Source organism: Homo sapiens, chromosome 15 (genome assembly GCF_000001405.40).
Source record: "Homo sapiens chromosome 15, GRCh38.p14 Primary Assembly".
Taxonomy (NCBI): domain Eukaryota; kingdom Metazoa; phylum Chordata; class Mammalia; order Primates; family Hominidae; genus Homo; species Homo sapiens.
The window spans coordinates 58878747-58906625 of NC_000015.10; the positions used below are offsets into that span (position 1 = coordinate 58878747).

The window sequence follows — 27879 nt, forward strand, 5'->3', positions numbered from 1 at the left end:
TCTTCACTGATTTATATAAAGGGATGTGGGAAGCTTTTTTGAAAGAGCAGCATTTACCTTGAAGGGCTTTCCTAAAAGAGATGCCTTTAAAAAAGCCATAGGATTAGTGGTTAAGTCTCTAACATGTGAACAGCATGTGCTGCCCAGCTACTGAGGTGAAGAGTCTAAGCTAGATTTATTTCTGAAGAACAAAGACCAAAAGAATGCCTTTATAGCTCTATATCTAGTCAGTCACCTTGGGCTGAACTACAGAAAGAACTGGACGACTAACACCTAAAACGCTGAAAACAAAGACACATACACTTCCAGGTGTGGATTTTTATTTTCACAAAAAGACAACAATGTCTTCCCCACATACAAGTATTTACAAAACCCAACTGATTCACCCATCTAGAACCTGGGTTTTTTTCCACTTCTCAACATAGTTGGGAACATGGAAACATTAATACCCACACAATTCCCAGAGATGGAATTTATCCATCAAACAAACAGTGCAGATTACCTAAAAGTGCACTTACCTGCACAACTCGGTCTAAGAACCTTGTGAAACAAACCTCATGGCCAAGGTTTCATGAATCTATTTGGTTTCATACCATGCAAACCTGAACAAGTGTGCTGCTACACTAAACTGAAAATCGGTTCTCATTTTACAATTAAAAAGGTTCTCAACACTTTAGCAACTATACAGAATATGAAGGTTTATTTCAAAAAAGATTACATTTTTTTAAACCAGGATACACAGATGCACTTAATGTAACAGTACCTTCTGCAAAAATAGGTTACATAATACTCAGAAATGCAATGAACAATCTTATTCTCTAAAAATTAGACAGCTAAGACTTCTTAAGTGTAGACAGCCTTCAAAATGGAGGCTGAAAATGCTTGGTAAAAAGAAGTAACTCTAGAGCCAGACACCACAGAGCTAAGGCTGCAAATTAAACCACTACCACACAGCTGCAAACTACTCTTTATATTCACACAGCGTTAAACAAAACGACTTCAATTCCATCTTTTCAAATGTGCCTCGGTGCTGCAAGAAAAAAAGTTGAATGATACACAAAACTATTAAAAGTTACAACAGAACTATTTAAACATCTTCTCCAAAATTGAGAAAAGCAATCATGTTAAATTTTTAAAAAGAAAAGTCTGACAGAACTCTCAAGCAAGTCAGAGGTCCTCTTCATAAGTAGTCAAGTAAAGTTTACAGGAGATTTCAATAAATTATCTTAAAACCTTGGCAGAGAGCTCATTTTCAGAATCGTCGCGGAGGTCCACCCTTAAATGGCTTAAATCCGGAGCCACTTCCTCTTGGCATGGAATTGCCACTGATTTGTACAATTCTATTAATTGGGGATGCGTTACTGAAAAAGGTTTAAAAGAAAAAAACATCAGAGAACAAAGAACAAATCATCACTGCAAATACCAGGCACTGTTCTTGGTACTTTATCCAAAATAAATCATTTACTCTTTTCAACAGTCCCGTGAGGTCTGAACCATTGCTAACCCCACTTTACTGAAGAAACAGATCTGGAGGTTGAGGAACTCTTCCAAGGTCACAGAGCTAATAAAATGGTGAAGCAGAGATTTGAACTTGGGCAATCTCACTTTGAAGCCCCATTACTTCAGAAGCCAGTTGTGGATCTGCACGTGGACTACAGCAGCAGATCTCTTAAGTGTGGACCCCAAACCAGCAGCAGCAGCACCAGCTGGGTGCCTGTTAGAAATGCAAATTCTCACCCCCATCTCAGACCACAGAGAAAGAAACTGAGGGTGGGACTCCCAGCAACCTGTGCTTTTCTTTGTTTGTTCTTTTAAATATATATATTTTTAGACAGGGCCTCACTCACTTCACCGAGGCTGGAGTGCAGTGGCACATTCATGGCTCACTGCAGCAGCCTTGACTTCCTGGGCTCAGGTGATTCTCCCACTTCAGCCAGCCACCAGAGTAGCTAGGACTACAGGCAAGTGCCGCCATGCTCAGCTAATTTTTTTTATTTTTCTTAGAGACAGGGTTGCGCCATGTTGGCCAGGCTGGTCTTGAACTCCTGGGCTCAAAAGATCTGCCAGCCTTGGCCTCCCAAAGTACTGAAATTACAGGCAGGAGCCACCACGCCCGGCCAACCTGTGTTTTAACAAGCCCTCCAGGTGATTCTGTTGTTTGCTAAAGCTTGTGAACTAAATTATAGAAGTCATTTAAGAATATTTCTGGAATCTTTATGTGTAATGCAACAGAGCAGATGTTAGTAACACAAAAAAGCAGACCCCCTCCCCCGACAAAAAACCTTTAACAGGCCGGGCGCAGTGGCTCACGCCTGTAATCCCAGCACTTTGGGAGGCCGAGGCGGGCGGATCAAGGAGAATTGCCTGAACCCGGGAGGCAGAGGTTGCAGTGAGCTGAGATCATGCCAATGCACCCCAGCCTGGGTGTCACAGCGAGACTCCATCTCAAAAAAGAAAAAACTTTAACAAACCAGGAGATAAAAATCTACAGTGAAGGCCGGGTGTGGTGGTTCACACCTATAATACCAGCACTTCGGGAGGCTGAAGCTGGAGGATCACCTGAGGAACAGGAGTTTGAGACCAGCCTGGCCAACAAAGTGAAACCTCCATCTCTACTAAAAATACAAAAAAATCAGCTGAACATGGTGGCACACGCTGTTGTCCCAGTTACTTGGGAGGCCAAGGAAGGAGAATCACGTGAACCCAGGAGGCGGAGGATGCAGTGAGCTGAGATAGTGCCACTGCACTCCAGCTTGGGGGACAGATACTTCGTCTTGGAAAAAAAAAAAAATCTACAGTGAAATGGTTCAGGCAGAATAAAACTAGATTATAAGGGCCAGGCTGAGGAATCTGGGCTCAATCCTGTGACCTGGAGCAGCTGCTTGTTGTGGTTTTAGAGCAATAAATGGTATAATAAAATGGGAGTTTCAACAGTTCAATTTACAAATGGGGTAATGGAACACAATAATTGGGAAGATCAGATAGAAGCTAAAATGAGGAATAAGGGATAGCTATGATAAACTTTCTTTTTGTAGAGACAGGGTTTTACCATGTTGCCCAGGCTGGTCTCAAACTCCTCAGTTCAAGTGATCTACCTACCTTGGCCTCCCAAAGTACTGGGATTACAGGCATGAGCCACTGTGCCCAGCCTGAGAAACATTTAAAAAAAAATAGAGCCACACGGCCGGGCGCAGTGGCTCATGCCTGTAATCCTAGCACTTTAGAAGGCTGAGGTGGGCAGATCACAAGGTCAGGAGTTCAAGACCAGCCTGGCCAACATGGTGAAACCCCATTTGCTAAAAATACAAAAATTAGCTGGGCGTGGTGGTGCACGCCTGTATTCCCAGCTATTCACTTGAACCCAGGAGGCAGAGGTTGCAGCGAGCCGAGACTGCACCACTACACTCCAGCCTGGACAGAGCAAGACTCTGTCTCAAAAAAAAAAAACCACACTTAGAAATTTATACTAGGAATGAAGAAAGGTAAGGACAAGCCCCGTATTTCCAGTCAGGGTGAATGAAATGGATGGTGGCACTATCAAATTGAAAGAAACTGGAGGCAACAAAAGGGACACAAAGGTTTGAAAAAGGAGAGGAATGAGTTTGACTGTGACCTTGAATTCATGGAAACAGCAAAGCACTTACATGGCAGTGGCAACATGAAGCTGAAAGGAAACAGCAGTGTCTAAAGCTTAGCCACGGGAAGGAGCCTGCAAAGGCAGTCACAAAGGCAGAAAGAAAATGATGGTGCCCTAGAAAACAGACTCCCTCAAAATAAAGATAAGTGACCGTGTGAAACAGTGTTTAACCACCAAGGAGTCTGACAACCATGAAAATAAAAGAATCTATATTTATCAAGAGAAAAGTCATCGGTGACCTTTACAAACCAGATACAATGAATGTTGAGCTTGTGCAGGCAGAAGTAGCACACTTACTGAAGTTTGATGGTAGAAGTGACCATGGAATAGTAGTGACCTGGGTCACTGAGTCAAGCCAATAACTCTCCTAAGAAAGAGGAATGGGAAAGAAAGGAGGACATGAAAGAGATGGGGAAGCTGAAGACCTGCTGGCTGAAGGGCCACATCCGACCTCAGTGTGAAGAGAAAGTAAAGCTCGCCTCTTAACGTATGAAGAGATTTTGTGTTAAATGTCTAAAAGCCTTCCCAAGAGTTATTTTAAAAGGGAGGAAACAGAACACACTTTCAGTATTTTCTTCCTAAGAATTTGAGGAATGCTAGGTAGAGAACAAGATGATGGTTCCAATGTGAGGTTAAGATTCATTATCTAGACTGAGTGCAGTGGCTCCCGCCTGTAATCTCAGCACTTTGGGAGGCCAAGGCAGGCGGATCCCCTGAGGTCAGGAGTTCGAGACCTGCCTGGGCAACATGGTGAAACCCTGTCTCTACTAAAAATATAAAAATTAGCTGGGCATGGTGGCACATGCCTGTAATCCCAGCTACTTGGGAGGCTGAGATGAGAGAATTGCTTGAACCCAGGAGGCGGAGGTTGCAGTGAGCCAAGACCTCGCCACTGCAGTCCAGCATGGGCGACAGAGTGAGACTCCATCTCAAAAAACAAAAAACAAAACAAAACAAAAGAATTCATTGTTTACTGGATCCTGCCATACGTACATACCCATATCTATATCAACTTGCCAGAACGTCACTGAATTCATTTAAAAGGAAGAATACAAACTAACACATTAATATCAGCTGTTCTGCAAACACTCTTTTGGAGACTACGGGTTGATACAGGGAAATGTTCAGGCAGATCTAGGGTTTTCAGTAGTTGCAATTCAGTCTCTCAGAAACTATAATGACTTTTATGGAAAGGATAAAGTGTTGGTTGTGTGCTGGCAGAAAAACTGGTTAGTTATTTACCTTGAATGTTGGGTTATCATGCCTGCTCCTGCCCGGCCGTCACCCATTCGCCTCGTATCATGATAGCTAGGCCCTTGAGAGGGTGGACCATGCCACTCTTTCCTTGGTCCGCTTGTGTCCCGTCCATGGCGTTCAACCACATGTCGCTCCTCAGGATAGTGCTAAAAGAATAGCATATGAAAAGTCACTTGGCCGGGCGCAGTGGCTCATACCTATAATCTCAGCACTTTGGGAGGCTGAGGCAGGCGGATCACCTGAGGTCAGGAGTTCGAGACCAGCCTGGCTAACATGGTGCAACCCCGTTTCTACTAAAAATACAAAAAATTAGTCAGGCATGGTACCCCACACCTATAATCCCAGCTACTCAGGAGGCTGGGGCAGGAGAATCACTTGAACCCGGGAGGCAGAGGTTGCAGTGAGCTGAGATTGCGCCATTGCACTCCAGCTTGGGCAACAAGAGTGAAACCCCATCTCAAAAAAAAAAAAAAGGAGAAGTCACAATACCCTCAGTCTTGGTCTCATACCAACTTATATTGGTGTGCTTTTAATGTCAGAAGCAAATTAATAAGATGTCTGAGAAGATAAAAGGATGAGTAGTGCAGCAGCATATGAAAAGAGTTTATATCTATTTTGTAGTGAGAAGCTACTCAGGTCTCAGGGAAGGGTATGGAGGAAATGATTTAATACTTTTGTTGTTGTTGTTTTGTTTTTTGAGACAGAGTCTCGCTCTGTTGCCAGGCTGGAATGCAGTGGCGCGATCTCGGCTCACTGCAACCTCCGCCCCCCGGATTCAAGCGATTCTCCTGCCTCGGCCTCCCAAGTAGCTGGGACTACAGGTATGCACCAGCACGCCCAGCTAATTTTTGTATTTTTAGTGGAGACGGGGTTTCACCATGTTGGCCAGGATGGTCTTGATCTCTTGACTTCATGATCCGCCCGCCTAGGCCTCCCAAAGTGCTGGGATTACAGGTGTGAGCCACCACACCTGGCCAATTCCTTTTTTTAAAAAATAATTTTTTTTTTTGGAGACATGATCACACTGTTGCCCAGGTTGGAGTACAGTGTTGCTACCGTAACTCACTGCAACTTTGAACTCCTGGGGCTCAAGCAATTCTCCTGCTTCAGCCTCCTGCCTAGCTGGGACTACAGGGTGCACACCACCATGCCCATCTTTAATTTTAATTTTCCTATGGAGATGGGGGTCTCACTATATTGTCCAAGCTCGTCTCGAACCCTTGGCCTCAAGTAATCCTCCCGCCTTGGCCTCCAAAAGTGCTAGGTTTACAGCCACGAGCCACCAGGCCTGGCCATTAATTTGTATTTCTGTATTTTCTAGCACCCAAGGGCTTTTTGACCCTTGATTATTTCAAATACTTGGATCTTATATTGACTGTAAGAAGGCACAGCCAGAGATCAAAACCTTAAGACAAGGCACGGCAGGGCCTATGATCAGCCTATCAGGACAACATGCAGACAGCACAGCAAACAGGAGTTGTGAACTTATTTTACATTGTACTACTTAGTGCTATGGCACTTACAAGGTGCTACATCCATAACTATGGAAAACAGAGTAGCAAACACAAAGAAACAGAAACTGTAGAACTAGAGATCTATGGAAAGAGAAAGCAAGCATTGTGATACTTAGCTTACAGGAAAGAAAGCAGAAGGTACCCACAGAGAGGCTTAGATATAATACTGGCAGAACAATTTACAGACTAACATTATGAAAAAGAAAATTTTCAAGGGAGGATACAAGATCTCCTCCTCAGGACACATTTTCTAAAAGGACCTCTGAATGCGGAGGGCTAGTCTTTGATACTTAAATTTTACTATAAACAAGGCAGACTTATTTGGATTATAGACTCAGTCTTAAAAATTCTTTTTAGGAGGTGGGCGTCATGGTTCATGCTTGTAATTCCAGCACTTTGGGAGACAGAGGTGGATGGTCGGAAGTTTGAAACCAGCCTGACCAACATGGTGAAACCCCGCCTCTACTAAAAATACAAAAATTAGCCAGGCGTGGTGGCGCACATCTGTAGTCCCAGCTAATCGGGAGGCTGAGGAAGGAAAATCGCTTGAACCTGGGAGGCGGAGGTTGCCGTGAGCCGAGATCGCACCACGGCATGTCAGCCTGTTTGACAGAGTAAGACTCCATCTCAAAAAACAAACAAACAAAACAAAACAAAAAAAACAACAACACACACACACACACTGTATTAAAATACAAAACAAACACCAGCATATAATGGAGACACACACACTGCACAATTCTTTTTGGTATATAATTTATGAAAGTATGTCCTAACTGTGCTACTATCAACCCACACGCCAGTATTTCATCAGTAGAAGAATACTTTTAAATGAGGCAAAAGGTTTTTGTTCATTTCGGTCTCTAAAAGATAAAGACACTTTCCTCTGTCCAGCTCATTAACTTACAAAATATTCAAGTCAATAAAGTGTCACAAGAGTAAAAATTTAAAAATATGTAACATTACACTCATCTACCTTTAGGATAAGAAGACAAAAAATAGACAAAAGTTCTATTTCAATTTTACACTTTAAGCTACTTAAATGAAGCAGGAGAAAAAGAAGAGTGTGTGTGTGTGTGTGTGTGTGTGTGTGTGTGTGTGTGTGTGTGTGTATTTTTTTTTTTTTTTTCCAGACAGGGTCTGGCTCTGTAGCCCAGGCTGGAGTGCAGTGGCACCATCTTGGCTCACTGCAACCTCCAACTCTTGGGCTCAAGTGATTCTCCTGCTTCAGCCTCCAGAGTAGCTGGGATTACAGGCGCCCACCACCACGCCCGGCTAATTTTTGTATTTTTAGTAGAGATGGGGTTTCACCATGTTGCCCAGGCTAGTCTGAAATTCCTGAGCTCAGGCGATCTGCCCACCTCGGCCTCCCACAGTGTTGGGATTACCTCCCAAAGTGTTGGCATGAGCCACCATGCCCGGCCAAGAATATTTTATTGAAAAGGAAACACAAGTAGGGGCCAAAGATTTCAGATGCAGTTTGAAAGCCTCAATTTCTTAAAAAGAAATAAAACCAAAGTTATCATTAGATAGGCTCACTTACCAAATTAACAATTCTTAAATTTCACTGGGAAGTTTAATCGAAATGGAGTATTTCAAGGCTAGTACCTTAACTCTTTGGACTACTGATGGTCAACTACTGACAGTAAAGTATGAGAAAAATTCAGATTTTAAAAATTTAAATAAAAAATTAATGCCTCTGAATCATTCCAATCTAGCTAATCTAAGCCACATCAAAATGCTACTGTATATCCAGAGTAGCTCATGAATCCTCTAAATGTATGTGTGCAGGCTCGCGGCAAGCCTCCCGCAGCACTTACCTGTGATCCACCTCCTCGGTCTGTGATGACTCCTCTGTCTCCCTCTCTGCTCCCGTACCCCGAAGCGCTGCTACGATTCCCAGGGGGAGCGCCTCTCACACTGTGCCCTGATACTTCTCTCCCAGATCGTTCTGGCCTTTCAACTCTGTTAAACAAAACATAAAAACATACATGATCAAAACTGTAATCTTAACTTTTTTTAACCCCAATGCATGAGACCACTAGGAAAGCATTACATAGTACACAGCTACCTTGTTTCCCGTTTGTCAGTGGACATGCTTCCTTCACTTTTCCAGCTGGTGGGTCTGGAAGGATTGGGCCCTGCCTCTCGAGGATGTCTAGGATGAGTGATATCAGGCCTGTCATGAATAATCACCGTTCTCCTTTCGTCTCGCTCCCCTCGTACTTCTCGCCTGTCTGATTCTCTAAGTTCATTTCTTGGTGGTGGAGGCTCATTTCTTCTGGAGTCACTGAAATTTTTGGGATATCTTTCGAAGCTTGGATCTTCCCTTCGTGCAGTAGGTCGTGCTTTTTTCCCCTCACTTTGACCAACAAAGCGATCCCGCCTATTGATTAGAAACAAAGAATATAGGTCCAAGAAGTGCTTACTTGAGTGCTTAATTCTTCTTAACTTTGTCTGCATAACCTACAATAATGAAACCAAAAAATGAACTTAAGGCAAAGCCATGGAAAAAAGCTAGTTATTGATTATTACAACTCATTTTCTTTTAAACTGAACTAAGTGTCTAGCCTAAAGGTTGGTTTTTTAGCATTCAGGAGAAATGATACCGAACACTCAAAAGTCACTACCAAGCTGAAGAATGTTTTACTGTTCTTAACAGTTGAGGCATATCCAAAGCAATCAGTGCTTCCACAGTTTTAAAGATAAGAAGAGGCGGGGAGTGGTGGCTCAGGCCTGTAATCTCAGCACTTTGGAAGGCTGAGGTGGGTGGATCACTTCAGGTCAGAAGTGCTAGACCAGCCTGGCCAACATGGCAAAACCCCGTCTCTACTACAAATACAAAAATTAGCCGGGCATGGTGGTGGTGCATGTCTATAATCTCAGCTACTTGGGTGGCTGAGGCACAAGAATCGTTTGAACCCACGAGGCAGAGGTACAGTATGCCAAGATTGCACCACTGCGTTCTAGCCTGGGAATCAGAATGAGACCCTGTCTCAAAAAAAATTAAAATAGAATAAAGATAAGAAGATAAAGCCAACCTGCTTAATGGTGTTCTAGTTAATTAATTTGGAATACTGAATCACATTCCCATTAACAGAAACAAAAACCACGTAAATTGTTCTGAGCATTCAGTTCTGACCTGGTACTTCCAGTTAAGATTTTAGGAGAAACAGAGTTATCACTAGCAAGGCTCATAAAATAAATATAACAATTTTCAACATATCTACCTTTCAAAAGATGAAGACTGTACTGCTGAACTCTCAGGAAACCTGCCCCTCTCTCGGTGATCAAAGTCATTAAATCTGTTCTGTTGGCGAGAGTAGTCGGATCCATGGCCAAATCGTGCATCTGTATCTAGAGACAACTTTTTATTCTCGCTCCAGTAAGGATCATCTCGCCTTGAAGAGAAATATTTGCTTATTTACATAAATTAGTTCTACAGTAATCAAACGACATTTACTTGGAGTCATACATACCACATGTTAGAACTGTGGACATAACAGGGCTAGTAAACTCAAGACATAACACATCAGGAGTACAAACTAGCAAAGACTTAATTGTTGAATTACATAAAGTCAAATAGTGTGAGAGGAATTTAACAGGAGAGAAAATAGTTGAAAAACTGCCTGTCTTTTCCATTAAATGGAAAAGACATTTAGCATTCAGGAGAAATGATACCATTAAATGGAAAAGACAAATAAAATACCTGAAACCACTTTATAATAAAATTCTAACCAGTTCACACAACCTCTTCAGTTATCCTTAACTTTGGAAACGTTAGAGTGGTAAGTCAGAAGCACAGTTCATTCATTCCACCTATTTCTCTACACAATCAACTCAGTTTCATAGAATTTATGTTAAGAAGATTAAATGGGCATACTTATGTTTTTAAATCTATATGAAGTATGAATCCAAACACACAATAGAATCTATCTTTCAATCTCAAGTTTATGACTTCCATTTCTATACTACCTGCACTACCTTTTTAAGAATGTTCAAAATCTGTTTAATTATTATTGAAGCCTACTATGACAATGTATTTCCAGTCATAATGAAAAACATTTGGCATCAGAAAGGTAGACAGGGAAAGAAACACAGACTGTTCCCACTTGCTAGTGCACTGGGTCTACCCCAGTACTGTAATCCTTCCCATCCCTGTTGATCATGACTTTTATTCCAGTGATGGGAGCCTGTACTTTCTAATTCTCTAGTCTTAGCCTAAAGGGAATAAAACAGCAAGGTTAACTGTTAAGGAATAAAATGAGTAACTACCTATGATCTACATCACGTGGGCGTTTCAAGGAATTCCTTTTTTCTTGTTCATAACGAAGCTGCTGTTGTTGCCTTCTGAGTTCCTCTCTTTCTCGAGCAATCCGTTCAGCTTCCTTACGACGTTCCTTCAGACAACACAGAATGAAGAACCAACCAAGGCAAAATGAAAACATAAGATAAGTATACATGCAACCTTGTTTTAATCCTGTTGCTAAGAAACCATCATAAGCAAAGACCAGGCAAAACACAAACCTATGACACCTAAATTTGATTTCAATAATCTAGGCTGTAGCTATTGTTCTGCAACATTAAAAATAACAAGGACTGGGTGGTAAAAGTTGGCAAGTATTTGGGAAGGTCAAGTTTAGTTTAATCATTCGACTAAAACAAAAGCACCTAAAGGGAATTAGAAATAGCATTCTTAATATGCATGGAGACTAAGTGCCTTAAAACCCTGAGGTGCAATTCTGCAAAGAGAGGCATTATTTCCTTCCAGCCTTGGGAAATCATTCCCACTATAATATGTAAGGAAATCGTTATTATTTTCTAAGACTGGGATAGTGACAGAGCCTGGATTACAACTACTCTGGACTCATAGTCCTATGCTCAGACTATTAGGCTGCCATGATATTGCAGAGCTAGAATTATTACCAGTTATCTAGAACAAAGTCACTACTAATTCTATTTTTAACTAGTACCTAATTCACTGTTATCTTTCAGGGACACTTAAAAGCTCCTTAGCTAAACTCATTCTATAGACGCTTTACAACAAGTAAAGCAAGTTTTAGGGCTAAAATCACAGAGTCTGAAAAAGGTGAGTTATTTAAGATGAAAAGATTTTCTGACTGCACCTGTTCAATACGAATGCGTTCCCTTTCCAAGCGTTCGCGTTCCATTCTCTCTCTCTCTAGTTTTTGCCTTTCAATTTCTAGGCGCTCTCTCTCTCTCTGTAAGCGTTCCCGTTCTTCCCGTTCACGAATTATTCTAATGCGTTCTCGCTCTCGACGCTCTCTCTCTGCAATCTCTCTTCGTCTACCAAAAATCAGTATTTAGAAATACTTAAATTATGCTAGCACTGTGTGAAAGAGAATAGCTTTGAATTTGAATTTTTCCTTGAGGTTGGCAATTTTAAATTTCAACTCAATCTAAGTAGTTTTAATGTAATTGGAAAGAGAATTCAAAGTAAAACTTTAAACAGATCCCAATATTTTCACTTATCTATAAATAAGACTGTCAACTGAGCAGCTAAATTTTATAATATAGAGTAGTTGCCTCTTAGATGATTCCTGTTTAAATAAAAATTACTATAATAGTCCATTAATTAATTGACATTTTAGAAGGATGTAATCTGCATATGTAAATTTACAAAACTACAACTTCCAACACTTGTTTTTGATGGAAAAAGCTCTAATCCCTATTATATATTCTATTGTATCTCCTTAAACAAGTACATACTTTGATGATTTGGGATCATAACAATGAACATCAATAATAGCAAATACTACATATAACAAAATGGTGTCCTTAAGGGCTATTTTGGAATGTTTACTATCCTATAATAGATGGCTCCAGGTAACATGCTTTTCTGAGTCAGAGGTAGTTCAATTGTTCACTGAACTGAATTGTTATTGTATTAGACTTTTAATGTTATTTTCTTACTGTAAGGTAGTCAGCATCCTTTTCTGTCATCAGCATGTCTTTCTCTAGTAACCCAGTGGTTCTCAATGGGTCAGTACTATTTCTACAGAAATCAATGGGATATTTTTAATTATCACAATGACCATGGGGCAGATACTAGTGTTTAGTGTATGAGGATGAAGGTATCTAAGTATCTTATTGATGCATGGAATAGTGAGGATAGTCGTACACAACAAGAACCATCCAACACCTCTCATACCTTTCAGATGCCACAACGGACATGCACACCATTAAAAACAACCAAACACCTTAAGCAAAAATAATATGTCAGTCTAGAACTCAACCCCATTTTTAATAAATACTGTTTGCTTTGATATTATTTCTATAATCTAGAATTTCCAATAATGCAACTCCATATAAATAGAAGGAAAATTATACTTTCTTGCGACTTTTACCAAGAGTTGCTCACCATTTCAGAAATCATGTCATAATGTCAACACTACTTCTGGTATTTACTAACCAATACAACATATTAAATGACATACAACGTCAGTCTGTATTTGAAGCTGTCCCATTCTCAGTGAGTCTAAATAGGGATGCAAACATCTGACTACTTCATTAAGTCATGCCTAAACCTTCATATCTGGAATACATATTTTTATTATAAATTACTTTTATTTCTCCTTTATATTATAGTTAAGCCATTACATTTTTTTCTTTTTTTGAAATTGTTAGTATAGCTTAAGTATGTTATACATCAATTTCATTTCAGGAGAGTAAAGGCATTGCAACTTTTTTTAATATAAAAGGGAATTTGGTCACATAGGGTTTGAGAATCACTGGTCTAGTTGCTCCTCAATCCCACTCTCCTCTCAATCTGTTGTCAACTAAATACACAGGAAGCTAGGCACATTTGGACTTCATCTTAAAAAAGAGAAAATGGGTTCTATGTGCTACAAGGATTACTTCCTTTTAGTAAAGTTGTGTGTCAATTATTGTACAGAATAATCTAAGTTGCTAAAAGTATCTCTGGTAGTTCCTAACGCTGTCGTCAATGAATGGATGAAATCCCATGATAAGTAACCCCTGGACAAGACAGCTTAACATTTGAAATAATATACTATAAAACACACCCACAAGACTATTTTAAGTGGCATCCAAAAATTGATATACAAAAGTAAACTGACACTCGTGAACTGTTGAGATATGGCCACTAAAAATGGAAACATCTTGCTTTGTTTATATTTTCCGTTTGTTTTAAAGAGAATGCTTGCTTTGGGATATAATCCGAATACCATTAGGCTCACAGGGCAAATCTTCCTTCTCTTAGGCACTAATGCAAACAATAAATTTTTGCTAAATTTGTTAAAATTTCAGATTACAGTATTTGAACACTGTAGCTACTTTGAAACTATCTTATCTCAAATTTTTCCTTTGAAGTCATGTTTTTTATGGCAGCAGCTTTGGTGTTGAGGAAAGAGCATTGGACTTGGAGTCAGAAGACTTGGGTCTGAGTCCCGACTCTGCCACTTGTTAGCCATGTGGCCATTGGAAGAGTCATTTAGCCTCTCTGGGCCTCCATTTTTTTCAATTGTATAATGGGCATAACTAGCCTTACAGAACTGTTGAGTTGGAGACAACAGATGGAAAAGCACTTTGTAAATTGTAAAGTGCTATGCAAACTTAAGAAATCATTAGATGCTACCGTAACTTCTTTAAGGTGGCAAACAGTTTTCTGTGGGAATACAATTTCCAGAAATATGGCTTACAACTAGTGTTAAATATTTACCTATATTTAAAGACAGGTATAAAACAGACTCTCTTCCTACCTTCGAAGTTCCATTGCTCGTCGCAGCCTTTCAAAACGAACTAAATGTTCTCTCAACCTTTGTTCCTTCATCTTTTCAAAAGGCAAGATCTCTTTCCTTCTGTAGTCTTTATCTCTTTTTTTATCTAGACTAGCTCTCTCCTTTTCCTTACTTCTTCCATGAATCTGTAGAAAAAAATTAGAAGAACACTAGAAATTAAAATATTTTGGGGCTTTATTTTTCAAGTTTAGTAGGTCATTTAAAAAGTTCAAATGACTAGTAACATTTCCTTTTTCTTGGGTTTGCTAGCATGCAAGTACGCAAAGATGGTTATGGAAAAACAGAATTATCTTCTTTTGTAAACAGCTGAAGTAGTATACAACCATCCTGATCAGAGACTTACTTTCTCATATCTTCCTCTTCTTGATGGTCTACAATGATCTCCTTTAGTTTGGTCTAGTATTACCATATGTCCTGGACTCTTGGAACCTAAGGGAAAAAAATTATATAAAACAATGTCTAAAATTTTTCATTGAGAAAGAAAATATGTATGTAAAAATGCTAAATTCTGATAGTCACACACCAATACATGAAATAAAAAAACTACTTATTCTACAAGAACTTCAATGCAAAGAGTTTTTTAAACAGTTCAGTCTGCTAACATAAATACTTTCAGTGATACCAAAAGATCCTAATTCAATAGTACTAATCAATGACCATTTTAAGTCAGCCCAGAATAGCAAAGGAGCTTAGCTGGAAGAATACATTTGTTTGTTTCCCCAGAGTAGAAAAGAAGACAATTACTCCTACTAGACCTCCTTTCCTACCACAATGACACCTAACAACAAAGCTTATATCTGGATTAGAATTTCAGGTTTTCCCTTCCACTGTAAAAATTAAGTAGTAGAATGCATTAGAAAGGGATTGAAAAGATGTATAGCATACTTATTCGCTTCTTTTCTTCACTTTTTTTAATCGATTCTGATGTTTGGCCACTTGCTCCATTATCATTCTTCTCATCTTTACCTTCTATTTTCTTAGTATCCTTGCTTTCTTTTTTTTCAGATTTCTCAGACGATCTTTTCTCTTCTTTTTTGACAGAGGCTTGTGTCCTGACCATACCGCCCCAGACAAAAAAACAGAATGAGTACTTCATAATGTACCAAAAAAGTCTATCTGCTTATCAAAATAAATAAATAAAAATAAATCCTTACTTGCTACTTCTATCACTCGTATTTTTTTTATCTCCAGAACTTCTTGAACTACTCTTTTCATCATTTTCTTTCTTCATTTCTTTCTTAGAGGGATCACCTTTTACCTGAAAGGTTCGAACCAGAAAAACAATTTGTACATATGGTTACATTTTTGTGATTATAAGAAGTGTGCTAATGGCAGAAAATTTGGAAACGATAGGAAAAATATAAGGAGAGTAAAAACTACAAATACATAAAAATTAAAAATCACTGCAAATTCTACTCCCTGCTACTGTTAACAGCTATGAGTTGAGAACTAGCCATCAAATTAGACTTGCTTTGATAAACAGTTAGGGAAGCTTACTTTTTCAACAGAAATCAGCTGTCCATGCAGCTCAGTGCGATGAAGATGTGCAATACACCTGGACACCTCTGTGCTTGAAGACATAGTTACAATGCCATAGCATTTTGCCCCAGGACTTCGAGCATTTGTAACTACTTTTGCACTCAGAACCTATAAAATCAGACTGTACTTTAGAGAGTTTTACAACGTTCCAAGTACACAGACTTCTAAATACATGAAACTTCACAACTGAAACTATATATTAATTCAGGGTGTATCTTATTCTGTCTCATGTTTTTTTTTTTTTTTTTGAGATGGAGTCACACTCTGTCACGCAGGCTGGAGTGCAGTGGTGTGATCTCAGCTCACTGCAACCTCTGCCTTCTGGGTTCAAGCAATTCCCCTCCTTCAGCCTCTCAAGTAGCTGGGATTACAGGCATGCACCACCATGCCCTGCTAAGTTTTGTATTTTTAGTACAGATAGGGTTTTGCCATGTTGGCCAGGCTGGTCTCAAAGGCCTGACCTCAGGTGATCGGCCTACCTCGGCCTCCCACAGTGCTGGGATTACAAGCATGAGCCACTGCAGCCAGCCTATTTCATATTCTTGTGATCACCATCTACGTTACCCATCTTAGTAAATATTCAGGGGAACAATTTAAAGTGCCAAAAAGCAATTTAACCTTTTTATATTTATTTCCTCCCCTCAAATATGTAGCCAAAACACAATCTCATCAATGAAGTAATGGCACAATTAATAAAAGCAAATAAATTGGATTTGAACCAAAATATCCCTATCATAGGCCCACCCTGAATGTCTTTAGAGAAAGTTTCTAGTATTTTATTGATGAGTGTTAACACTTTTCTATAATGAGTAAAGAACCAATCACATATAAAAAAGCGGACTTAAAAATGCATCCCCCGAAAAACACCCTAAAGCTTGAAAGACAACACTTTCAATCTATGTGCTTTTAAAACGTATATGAACATGACAAATAATTGCAATTGTGTAAGATGGTTAGTTAAGAGAGACAAAGCAGGGATGGATGAGTGAGAAGAAAAGAGAGAGAACGATTCGGTGCTGAACAAAGAAGAGTAAAGACATAAAGCTGGGAAGAAGTAAACAGGAAAATCAGGAGTTTTATGGTATGGGTGGCTGGAACAAATCAACTTTTACCTCAACCCTAGGAAAGGCTGATTTGCTCCATAGCCATTTATTTTTTAACTCCACGGGTCTTCTTACCAAATAAATGGTATCCTCATATAGTTTTACTACTAATAAATACCAACATTAAAATATTGTTTTCACATCTCTAACAATACATTATTGAAAACAGAAGAAAAAATATAACACAGCCTATCATGGGACTACAATTCTCAGTGTTCTATTTCTGACACCTACAAGAACCTCCTTTACACTCAGGCAACTCACTAATTGAAGCAGGAAAAAAACCCTCCAAAAATCAAGAGGACAGGTTTTGGTAATATTAATGGCTATTTACCAATAATGGTCACTAATTCAGTAATTTCAATATCTGAAAGCCTATCATGTGCACATGAAGTACACTAAATAAGGTCCCTGACCTCAAAAAGCTTACACTGGAGTACATTAACTATTTGATGTATATGAAAAACTATAATGTAAGTAGACAGTATTGAGAGCCGTCAGGGATGCGGCTCACAATTCAAAGCATTTGTTATTAATTGAGTATTCTTTGACTACTCCTTCTCTTCCTTTAGGTCTCCCCTTAACTGCCAGAGAAACTTTTCCTGATGAACTAACCACAGGAAAGCCTCCCCTTTTTAACACCTGTGTACTTTTCCTTCACAAGACTTATAACAACTTCTGATTAGGTTTATATATTTAGGCGTGGTGCGATGGCTCACACCTGTAACCCCAGCACTTTGGGAGGCTGAGACTGGTGGATCACCTGAAGCCAGGAGTTTGAGATCAGCCTGGCCAACATAGTGAAAAACTCATCTCTACTAAAAATACAAAAATTAGCCCAGTGCAGTTGCTCATGCCTGTAATCCCAGTTACTAGGTAGGCTTGAGGCATGAGAATCGTTTAAACTTGGGAGGCAGAGGTCGCAGTGAGCCCACATCACGCTGCTACACCCCAGCCTGGGTGACACAGTGAGACTGTGTCTCAAAAAGAAAAAAAAAAGTTTATATATAAACTTAATGTAGATATATGTTTATATATAACTTTATATAAGTTTAAACCATTCTCATGCCTATATATATAGCCAGTTTTATATTTTTCTCCATTACTGGACTAGAAATCTGTAACAAGGATCATATCTGGTTCTCCCCAGGCCCCCGTGAATTATGTATCCCACTGACTAATAATAGTCTAAATATAAATGTATTTTCAAGATGTCCAAATCAGGCTCAGCAATATGCTAGATCCCAAGCTACGTGCTACAAAGTATCATGATGAATAAACTTATTAGTCCTTGGCTTAAATAGGTTTAAAGTTTGGAATACAAAGATTCCCAAGGCTCAGAGAGAGATTAAATGATGAAATGCTATTTATCCCCTAACTCTCATCTACCATTACCACAGAACTCAATAATTATGTCTATTAACAGTCCTAAGAGATACAATAAATTAGAAGATATTCATGTAATACTATTTAGAATACAATCCTCATTTCAAATGCAGACACCAGAAAGACAGATAAAAAGGTAAAAAGAATGTACCTTTCCATATTTGCCAAAGAGGTTCTTCAAATCAGCAGCTTTGGTATTAGATGAAAGTCCACTAACCCAGATATTTTTAGTTGAGCTTCCACTGCTACCACTAGTACTACTTGTACTTCCTAGAATAGATTTAATATCAGATGTTTAAGTATCTCAATCAGAATCTTTATACAAAACTATAAGGGCCACATTCTTTCAAAACTATAATTTTGATAGTATGACGTTACTATATCAAAATCCTGTGAGTTTACTATTATTGAAATCAAACAGACAACATGACTAGTGAGGGGAAAAAATCTGAACGTATGTACATTTCCTATTGTATGAGTTCTAAGTTGAAGAGGGTAAAAAAATCAATTACATGTCTCAGACTTTTGCTGTTCAGTTTTAATAATTTATAGTCTACCACTGCACTGAATAGAGACAACTAGGAAGCAGTCATTTAGGAATGAACAGACTGTTTAGTTGCCACATCTGCTGTGGGCTTTAGATCCTTAGAAATTGAAATGGAAGAAGAAAAAAGTCAGAGCAAGGTATACATTTTTCAAGAATTTATATGATTAATAACAAAGACGAACCAACTGGTACACCTTCATTCCATATTAGAGAATAAGTAAGACAAAATGGGAATTATATGCAGCTGGATAACTCTAGATTCGATAAGAAACAATCTTCTAAAACAAAACAACTACAAGATTAAGATCAGAGGTCTCAAAATCCTTTATAATAGGTAAATGATTATATGAATCATTTCTGTACTATGTCACACATAAATTATGGCTTCATATGTATAGAGGCCATATCTTAGGATACAGGCCTAGCCAGTCACCCTTTTCTTCAAATGTGCTGTAATAAAAGGGAAATTTTCATTCACTTGACTTTATTTGGAAAATAATTTTTACTCACTTTAAGAGAAACAGTATACAAGCAATTAAAAGGAACAATTTCTATATTTCACATTCTTTTAAGCAAGACCAACCAATTCATAAATCACATCCTTATGATTTCTAACGATTTAAAATAAACTATGGAGGATGCATACAATTCTCCTTTACACATTTAGGAGGTATTTAAAAGCTTTGCAGTACCTGAATGTTTTATTTTCCCTTAAAATCCTTTTCTAGAAATTAAGTATTTTTCAAGTAAACACAGCACATGTACAAGATGAAACTACAGCTCATGGGCATGAGATAACCAGAGATTTCTCAGTATCAGAAAGCAACTAAATATTGCACTTTGAAACTTACAAGAATTTAAAAAAAAGAAAAAAGAACACTAGACTCCACAAATACACACAAGTATTATTTAAAGACAGAACAGGAAAAAGGTTGTGGTGATACACAGTAGTTATAAATGAGTAACAAAAGATAAAATAGTTCTGAAATTATAATGTAAGAAAGTATCTATTAATATTCAACACAGTCCCTTAGAACACACCAGGTAAGTGTTCCCTAGCTAATGGGTTTTTAACGTACCCCATTACCAGTTTACAAAGTAAACAGTAACACATCAATCAGTTTTCTGTAATATATATAATTCCACAGTTTATATAAAGACCATCTCAAGTTTCTAGTCTGTCAATAAAATTTTTAAGGACTAAATGTCAAAGAAAACACCGCGCAACTACTACTTTTTAATGAAAATACACAATGTCAACACTGAAATAAATAGGGAAAAAAATTCTTTACCTTTGTCATCTTTAGATGATGTCTTGCTGTCTTTAGATTCCTTTGAAGAGCTAAAGAGGCAAATCACCAGAAGAAAATTGAAAACAAAAACAAAAACAAACCCAAAACAGAACAGCTTGATATTTACTATATTTCAAACTAGTGCTATTCATACAAATTAACAATTCCAAAGGCCTAGATTAGGTTATTTGAACAAATGACTCCCTGAGGATTCTTGCACTGATTTTCCCCAAGATGCCTGAAGATCTAGATTTTCTGACAATTCTATTCAGTGGAAATATGGCCATCTTCTCCAGATTTCAGGACTGGGACTTGACTTCATTTTGTGTTCTTAGAACTGATAGTTGTTCATTAACCATCATCACAAGGATTTTAAAAAATAAAACACAAAAAAATTGTCAATTTGAAAAAAAAAAACAAAAAACAAAAAACAACAAAAAAACCAAATATATGCTGACATTCGACAATGCAATCAGTAGAACACACTGCATTATTATGAAGATCTTGAAAATTTTTAAAAGTAACTTATGACGGTCAAAAATATTATAGGCAGGATCATAAGACACTAATTACTGTACATGTTCTTGAAGCCACCCCCTTAATGTAGAGTGATCTTATTGAATGCTGGAATTCAGTATCGTAAAGAACTGACATAGAAAAACAAACCTCTTTGCTTGACCAGAGGCCCCAGTAGACGAGGGCCCTTTCTTCAAAGTATCCTTTTCTTTGTCTCCAGATTCTGCTTTCTTAGAACTTTCTCTGGCTTCCTTCTCGACAGGGTCACCCTTCACGCAGTCTTCCTTCTTACCATCTTTATGGTTCGCATTCATCTCATAATCCTTGCTTTCCTTCTCCGGGCTCTGTGCAATGGCGTCCTGCCCATCTTTTGGCTTACTTGCTTCAGAATCTGTAATTTTCACATTTTTACCTGTTTCTAGGAGGTCATCACCATCAAAATCCAGAGTGATGGCATCTTCAGCCTGGATTGTGACCGAGATGTTGTCATCCTCAGCTTCTTTCACAGTCGTATGAGCTTCCATCTCTTCATGAGCTGTGTGATCAGCCTCAGCTAGGCTCCCTTCTGAAGGAAGAGGTTTAGATACTTCTTGTGTACCATCACCAGAACCTGCTATATCTAAGAGGATTTAACAGGAATAAATATGGCAAAACAAGAAGTTTAAACAATTTCATATTCATAAGCTAGAATAGGACCTAGAAAATATAAAGCCAGTTATTAGCACTGATGGAAGTTAGGGAAAAAAAAAAAAAACACAAGGGTATTAACTAACATAAACCATCCTTTACCCAGGATCACTTATTCTTCATGGAAAAAATGATCTCTACATACAAACACCAAACAACAATAGTGAGAAAATGGTTCCATCCTGAAGATACCAGCTCTTCATTTCTGGTTATAAGTTAATGGCATATGGAAGATTTTGTTCCTCCATGTGACAGTGACAAAAGTGCAGATTGTTGTTCAATGCTGGAATTATCCTGGGATTGAACCCTAGTGACCTTCAGAACTCCCATGGTGACTTCTTGACAGGTAACAGTCTGAGGATATCAATCAGTCTTCAGAGTATTTCAGAGCCCCATCTTTTCCACTCTTCAATGCTTGAGTAGTCCGGATTCGTAGGGAAAACTGGTACAGAAGGCTCCAAAGATGCTCCTGCTCCGTGACGTTCAGGAAATTGGTTATTTCCAGTCTTCATCCTGTCCAGTCAGTCTGCAATTACCGTTTTCAAAGATGTCTTGCATTCCCCCAAAACAGAAAGGCTTCGGGCATGTGAGATTTTCAGTCAGTAGCTTCATTTCATCACTGCTTCTAGGCTTTTTATTTGCCTTGCTTAACCCTGCTCCATGTCCTTTCTAGTCCAAAGTAGGATCCTTTGACTTCTGTCCAAGGACTCTTCCATAACCTCCTACTGACCACATGTATTGCTACTGTTGCCCCTGTAATTGTATTGAATGAGACAGCTCGTCTAAACTAAAATTGTCAGACGACTGTATGGAAGTTTCTCTAAGCAGCAAACACAAAGTCAGTCTCCTGGTCATTCATCATTTTTAGGACTAGTTGTAAAATTCACTGTGAGTTATGCACTAGGACTCCAATAAGCACACATGAGTTACTGCAGTGTCAGTCTTAAGAATTTAATCAACTTACCGTATACCAGAAGTTATTTTAAAAATAAAATTAAAATTGGGTTAAATAAAAAATAGCATTGTTCACTACAGTAACTGATATGTACTATTAAGTTGCAATATATCTTTAGTGTTCAAAAGAAAATTAAAACCAATTGGAAAATAAAATCAAGATGCTAACTTAATTCACTAAATGGATAAATTTGAAAATAAACTAATTTCAAAAATAAGATTTCAAATAAGGAGTGCTTTTTACATAATTTACTGTTTTTCTAAATTTTAGCAATTTTTAAGCTCTAGCATCAAACATACCTTTCTCATTTTCTTCTTCCTCACCATCCTGAAATTCAAAGAATAATCAAATGTAAAATGAATTCACATAAAACTAGATTTTAGTAATAGTACAAAATCAGCCAAGTTAAAATTGGTGGATAATTTAATGATATTATTTAGGGATACCTAACACTAACAAATAAATAGGCTATTCCAATCAGAACCAGAGTCCATGTAGAGAGATATGTGGCACAAGTTTGGTACATTTTAGAAAACAGGTATATCTATCAATGAGTACATAAATAACAAACTGGATTAGTTTCACTATTCAAAACTAGTTTATATAATCCAATTCTTCCTCATATCAAAGAGCTGTCAATAAGAAGGCTGACCTGATGACGTATTTTACGTCACTCAGTTCACAGGTACTCTTAGCTAAGATATACTATTCAAAACAGTACCAGAAAGTATAATCTGTAGACGTAACTTTCAAGTGCTTGAATACACAGTAATAAACCAAACAAACAAACAATACTCCCCTTTAAGTATATCAGACATTAGAAGAACAGTTACTAGGTCAGTTTCAAATTATTCATTCTTTTAATGTGTTAAAAGTGAGTTCATATCAACCACTGCACTCCAGCTGGGTGACAGAGTAAATCCCTGTCTCAAAAAAAAAAAAAAGTTCATAGTTGTCACACATATACCGATGGCAAAGCCAATTTTAAAATGGTATTTGTGTGACAAGTAATTAAAACAAGTTAACCCTCACATTTTTAAAATATGACTTTAATTTTAACATATTTGACAGTTTGGCTAAAATTAAAATTAAGAATGTGCTAGCTTAAAAACAGAAGAGTCATAAAGGGAAGGGAGAAGCTTAATTTGTTCTACCAAGCAAATAATGCAAACATCACTGAAGTAATCAAACCAACATAGAACCAACATTTTCCCAAATATAAGACTATAAAGAATAAAGTAATATGCATTATAATCTCAATAACTGAAAAAATTAAAGAATCATTTTATTTTTTAGAGACAAGTCTTGCTATTGATGCTCAGGCGGTCTCGAACTCCTGGCCTCAAGCTGATTCTCCCACCTTATCCTCCCAAGTAGCTGGGATTACAGATGCAAACCACTACGCTTGGCTTAAGAAATGTTTTGATTGTTTTTTTTTTTTTTTAAACAGGTTCCTTACTCTGTCGTCCAGGCTAGAGTGCAGCAGCATAATCATAGCTCACTGCAGCCTCAACCCCTGGGCTCAAGTGATCCTCCTGCCACAGCCTCCTGAGTAGCTGGGACTACAGATGTGTGCCACCATGTCCAGCGAATTTTTTTTTTTTAATTCTAAGTGGAGACGAGGTCTTGCTATGTTGCCCGGGCTGGTCTGGAACTCCCAGACTCAAGCGTTCCTCCTGCCTCAGCCTCCCAAAGTTCTAGGATTTACAGGTGTGAGCCACTGTGCCCTACCAAATGTTTTAATAACTTGTTTTGTATGTTTTGTCTTGTTTTTTTTTTTTGAGACAGAGTTTTGCTCTGTCCACCAGGCTGGAGTGCAGTGGCATGATCTCAGCTCACTGCAACCTCCGCCTCCTGTGTTCAAGCAATTCTCCTGCCTCAGCCTCCCAAGGAGCTAGGATTACAGGCACCTGCCACCACACCCAGCTAATTTTTTATTATTATTATTTTTTATTTTTTGAGACAGAGTCTCCCTCTATCACCCAGGCTGGAGTGCAGTGGTGCGATCTTGGCTCACTGCAACTTCCGCCTCCCGGGTTCAAGCGATTCTCCTGCTTCAGCCTCCCAAGTAGCTGGGACTACAGGCGTGTGCCACTACACCCAGTTAATTTTTGTATTTTTAGTAGAGATGGGGTTTCACCATGTTAGCCAAGACAGTCTCGATCTCCTGACCTCGTGATCCACCCGCCTCAGCCTCCCAAAGTGCTTGGATTACAAGCTGAGCCACCGTACACAGCCTAATTTTTCTATTTTTAGTAGAGACGGGGTTTCACCATGTTGGCCAGGCTGGTCTTGAACTCCTGACCTCAGGTGATCCACCCACCTCGGCCTCCCAAAGTGCTGGGATTACAGGCATGGGCCAGCGTGCCTGGCCTTTAATAACTTCTGCTTAGAAAACTAAGCAGAAGTACGCTGTTTAAAGTCAGGTGATGTGAAGCTTGTTGTAAAATTACCACATACAAAGCCTTAGAGCAGTGGTTCTCAAACTTGAGCATGCATCAGAATCCCCTGGAGGGCTTGTTAAAACAAAACACAGATTTTGATTCAGAAGGTCTGGAATGAGGCTTAAGAATGTGCATCTGACGGGGAGGGGGGAGGGATAGCATTAGGAGATATACCTGACGCTAAATGATGAGTTAACGGGTGCAGCACACCAACATGGCACATGTATACATATGTAACAAACCTGCACGTTGTGCACATGTACCCTAAAACTTAAAGTATAATAATAATAATAATAAAAAGATTAAAATGGAAAAAAAAAAAGAATGTGCATCTCTAACAAGGTTCCAGGTGAAACTAATGCTGCTGGTACAGCGCAAACACTGAGCATTGCTGCCTTTACAGAGTGACAACCTTAGTGAAAAAAGACGAAAAAAATGGAAATGTACGTAGAACTGTAAACAGCTTATTTATAATACAATTTTAGATTCATATAAAAGCATGCACTTCTTAAAATGTCAAATATTTTACAATGTGCTCAAAAGTACATTTGGATAATAATTTCTTTTTTTAAGTATTTTCTCTCTCTCTTTCTTTTTCAAACTTGTGTCTGTGTGAGAGACAGGGTCTCACTCTGTTACCCAGGCTGAAGTGCAGTGGTGTGATCTCAGCTCACTGCAACCTCTGCCTCCCAGGCTCAAGTTGATCCTCCGGCCTCGGCCTCCCGAGTAGCTGGAACCACAGGTGTATGCCACCACACCTGGCTAATTTTTTTGATATTTTTTTTTGGCAAAGACAGGGTTTCACCATGTTGCCCAGGCTGGTCTCGAACTCCTGAGCCCAGGTGCTCTACCTGCCTCGGCCTCCCAAAGTGCTGGGATTACAGGCATGAGCTGCCACGCCCGGCCAACAATAATTTCTATGAAGTCATTTTATTAATAAATGATATTTGGACTAAGTTAAAGTGTGCCAATTAGGGAATGACTAACTATTTTACAACTAAAGTAACATGAAGGAAACTAAAAATACTAAAAAGCTCGGCCATAAGCTAAGAAGTAAAATAGTCCAGAACAAGTAAATGATCAATTGATAACAGTGTAAATTCGATCACTATCTAAGACCATTATACTGTGCTCTAAGAATTTTTTTTTTTTTTTTTTGAGGCAGAGTCTCACTCCGTCAGCCCAGGCTGGAGTGCAGTGGCACGATCTCAGCTCTCTGCAAACCTCTGCCTCCCGGGTTCCAGGGATTCTCATGCCTCAGCCTTCCCAGTATGCACCACCACACCCGGCCAATTTTTTTTTGTCTGTTTTGTTTCGTTTTTCTGAGACTGAGTGTCGCTCTGCTTCCCAGGCTGGAGTGCAGTGGTGCGATCTCGGCTAACTGAACCCTCCGACTCCCTGGTTCAAGCAATTCTCCTGCCTCAGCCTCCCAAGTAGCTGGGATTACAGGTGCGTACCACTACGCCCAGCTAATTTTTGTATTTTTAGTAGAGATGGGGTTTCACCTTGTTGGCCAAGATGGTCTCTAACTCCCAACCTCATGATCCGCCTGCCTCGGCCTCCCAAAGTCCTGGGATTACAGGCGTGAGCCACCATGCCCGGCCAATTTTTGTATTTTTAGTAGAGATGGTGTTTCACCATGTTGGCCAGGCTGGTCTTGAACTCCTGGCCTCAAGTGATCCTTTTGCCTCGGCTTCCCAAAGTGCTGAGATTACAGGCAGGAGCCATTGCACCCAGCCTGTAAGAATGTCTTAATAAATTGTTTTACTAGAATATTACTTTTAAGCATTATGTGTCCAATTTGCAATATTTGGAAAGGAAAGAAAAACGCTTTAACTTGGGTGGAATGGTAGACAGAGACAGCAAGGAAAGAATGAGTTATGCTTGAATTATGGATAAATCTTTTTCTTTCACATTCTCTTTTAGTTTAGTAATTTTTGTTGAAGGAATAAATAAACTGAGACACCTGAGCTTGTATTTAAAGCAGACTAAATTAACTTAAAGAATGCAACATGTGGCCAGGCGTGGTGGCTCATGCCTGTAATCTCAGCACTTTAGGAGGCTGAGGCAGGAGGTTTGCTTGAGGCCACGAGTTTGAGACCAGCCTGGGCAACCTAGTAAAACCCTATCTCTATTTTAGAAAAATATATTTTAAAAAAATAAATAATTTTTTAAAAAAGAATGCAGTTTGACTCCCCTTATCTACCTCAGATGCGAAGAGCACACCACTTCCAAGTTATTGTTTTAGAGATGCAAAACTGATAGCTTCAAGAAAAAAACATAACATGTCCAAATTATTGGCTATTTTAAAAAGTAAAATAGTAAAAATACTATGATGTAAAAAAAAAAACTGTATTCTATTGTAGTTCCTGTCAATTATAATGTTATTTCTAGTTGCTAAAGTAACTAGTAAGGTTTGTCTTACTTGCTGGAGAATTTTTAGATATTTATCTTAATAATTCAGCATGTCTTCTGAAGGGTTTCATAATTTAAAGGCAAACTTTATGACATACATTTATATGCCGGTAGGAAATGGTCTGACCCAGCTTCTAGAAAACAAAACTGATTACAATGTGGTTGGAGCACAAAAACAACTTGGGTAAAGTAGAAAAGATGAACCACACGTAAATGCCTATTGATTTTACTGTGCAGTATGTGCAGCAAGCATAGCACTAACCATAAGTCCTAAATAAGAATCCAAAATACTTGCAATAAGGAAACAAACCAAGAAATACAATGGGAAACTTTCCCTGTCTAAATGGTATATATGCACAGACATGATATGCAACTATTTGAAAACAATTTCTCCCACTGAAAACAGATTTTTTTTCCAAATGAGGAATATAGCAAGTAAATGTAAAACATTTATTTGTCAAATGTAAAGCATCTTTTTAAATTAACCACTCAAGTTTGTCTTGAAAAAAAAATTTCACATATGAAGATGAAGCAAATGTCTACAAGGTAAGTACTCATGTTGTTTATCTTCACAGTGGGATGTGCAATCCTTAGTCAAATGCTAAAATACATAAAGCTCCTTTATTTACTTTCATTTCATCCTAGAAGCAGCAATGACTACTAAGAGACAAAGACAAGCCTAGGACTTATTTTTCAGTGAACCAAGTATTTACTACATATCCAATTCTACTACTCCCCATAGGTTATCTTATGATATCTGTACATGTATAGGCTAAGCAAGAAGACCTCCTTTCCCCTGGCTTGAA

At 38.7% G+C, this 27879-nt stretch overlaps 1 protein-coding gene across 25 annotated transcripts in view, besides 1 other annotated feature; it reads right to left on the bottom strand.

Annotated features, from left to right (window-relative positions):
- Positions 1-303: 303 nt before the first annotated feature.
- Positions 304-27879, bottom strand: part of SLTM (SAFB like transcription modulator) — a 54630-nt gene continuing 27054 nt past the window's right edge. For 10 of the 25 annotated variants that reach the window (XM_011522031.3, XM_047433051.1, XM_006720686.4 and 7 more), the window contains 16 exons: positions 22514-22541; positions 20723-21191; positions 20057-20106; positions 18369-18487; positions 15687-15836; positions 15344-15447; positions 15075-15241; positions 14533-14618; positions 14151-14314; positions 11535-11715; positions 10684-10808; positions 9639-9809; positions 8480-8794; positions 8229-8373; positions 4880-5040; positions 304-1361 (listed from right to left, as the gene is read on the bottom strand). In XM_011522031.3, the coding sequence (XP_011520333.1) occupies positions 1253-1361; positions 4880-5040; positions 8229-8373; positions 8480-8794; positions 9639-9809; positions 10684-10808; positions 11535-11715; positions 14151-14314; positions 14533-14618; positions 15075-15241; positions 15344-15447; positions 15687-15836; positions 18369-18487; positions 20057-20106; positions 20723-21096 (2421 nt within the window). In that variant the 5' untranslated portion in view covers positions 21097-21191; positions 22514-22541 and the 3' untranslated portion in view covers positions 304-1252. Of the gene's footprint in view, positions 1362-4879; positions 5041-8228; positions 8374-8479; positions 8875-9638; positions 9810-10683; positions 10809-11534; positions 11716-14150; positions 14315-14532; positions 14619-15074; positions 15242-15343; positions 15448-15686; positions 15837-18368; positions 18488-20056; positions 20107-20722; positions 21192-22513; positions 22542-27879 lie in introns of those variants that run through there. The other 15 variants (XM_017022578.2, NM_001013843.3, XM_011522028.2 and 12 more) reach the window with 6 other exon arrangements.
- Positions 1783-1872: an enhancer, noted in NCBI's record as "active region_9479". NCBI's record gives its function as "activates an Ori minimal core promoter by ATAC-STARR-seq in GM12878 lymphoblastoid cells {active_cell/tissue: GM12878}" and the evidence as "EXISTENCE:reporter gene assay evidence [ECO:0000049][PMID:35858748]".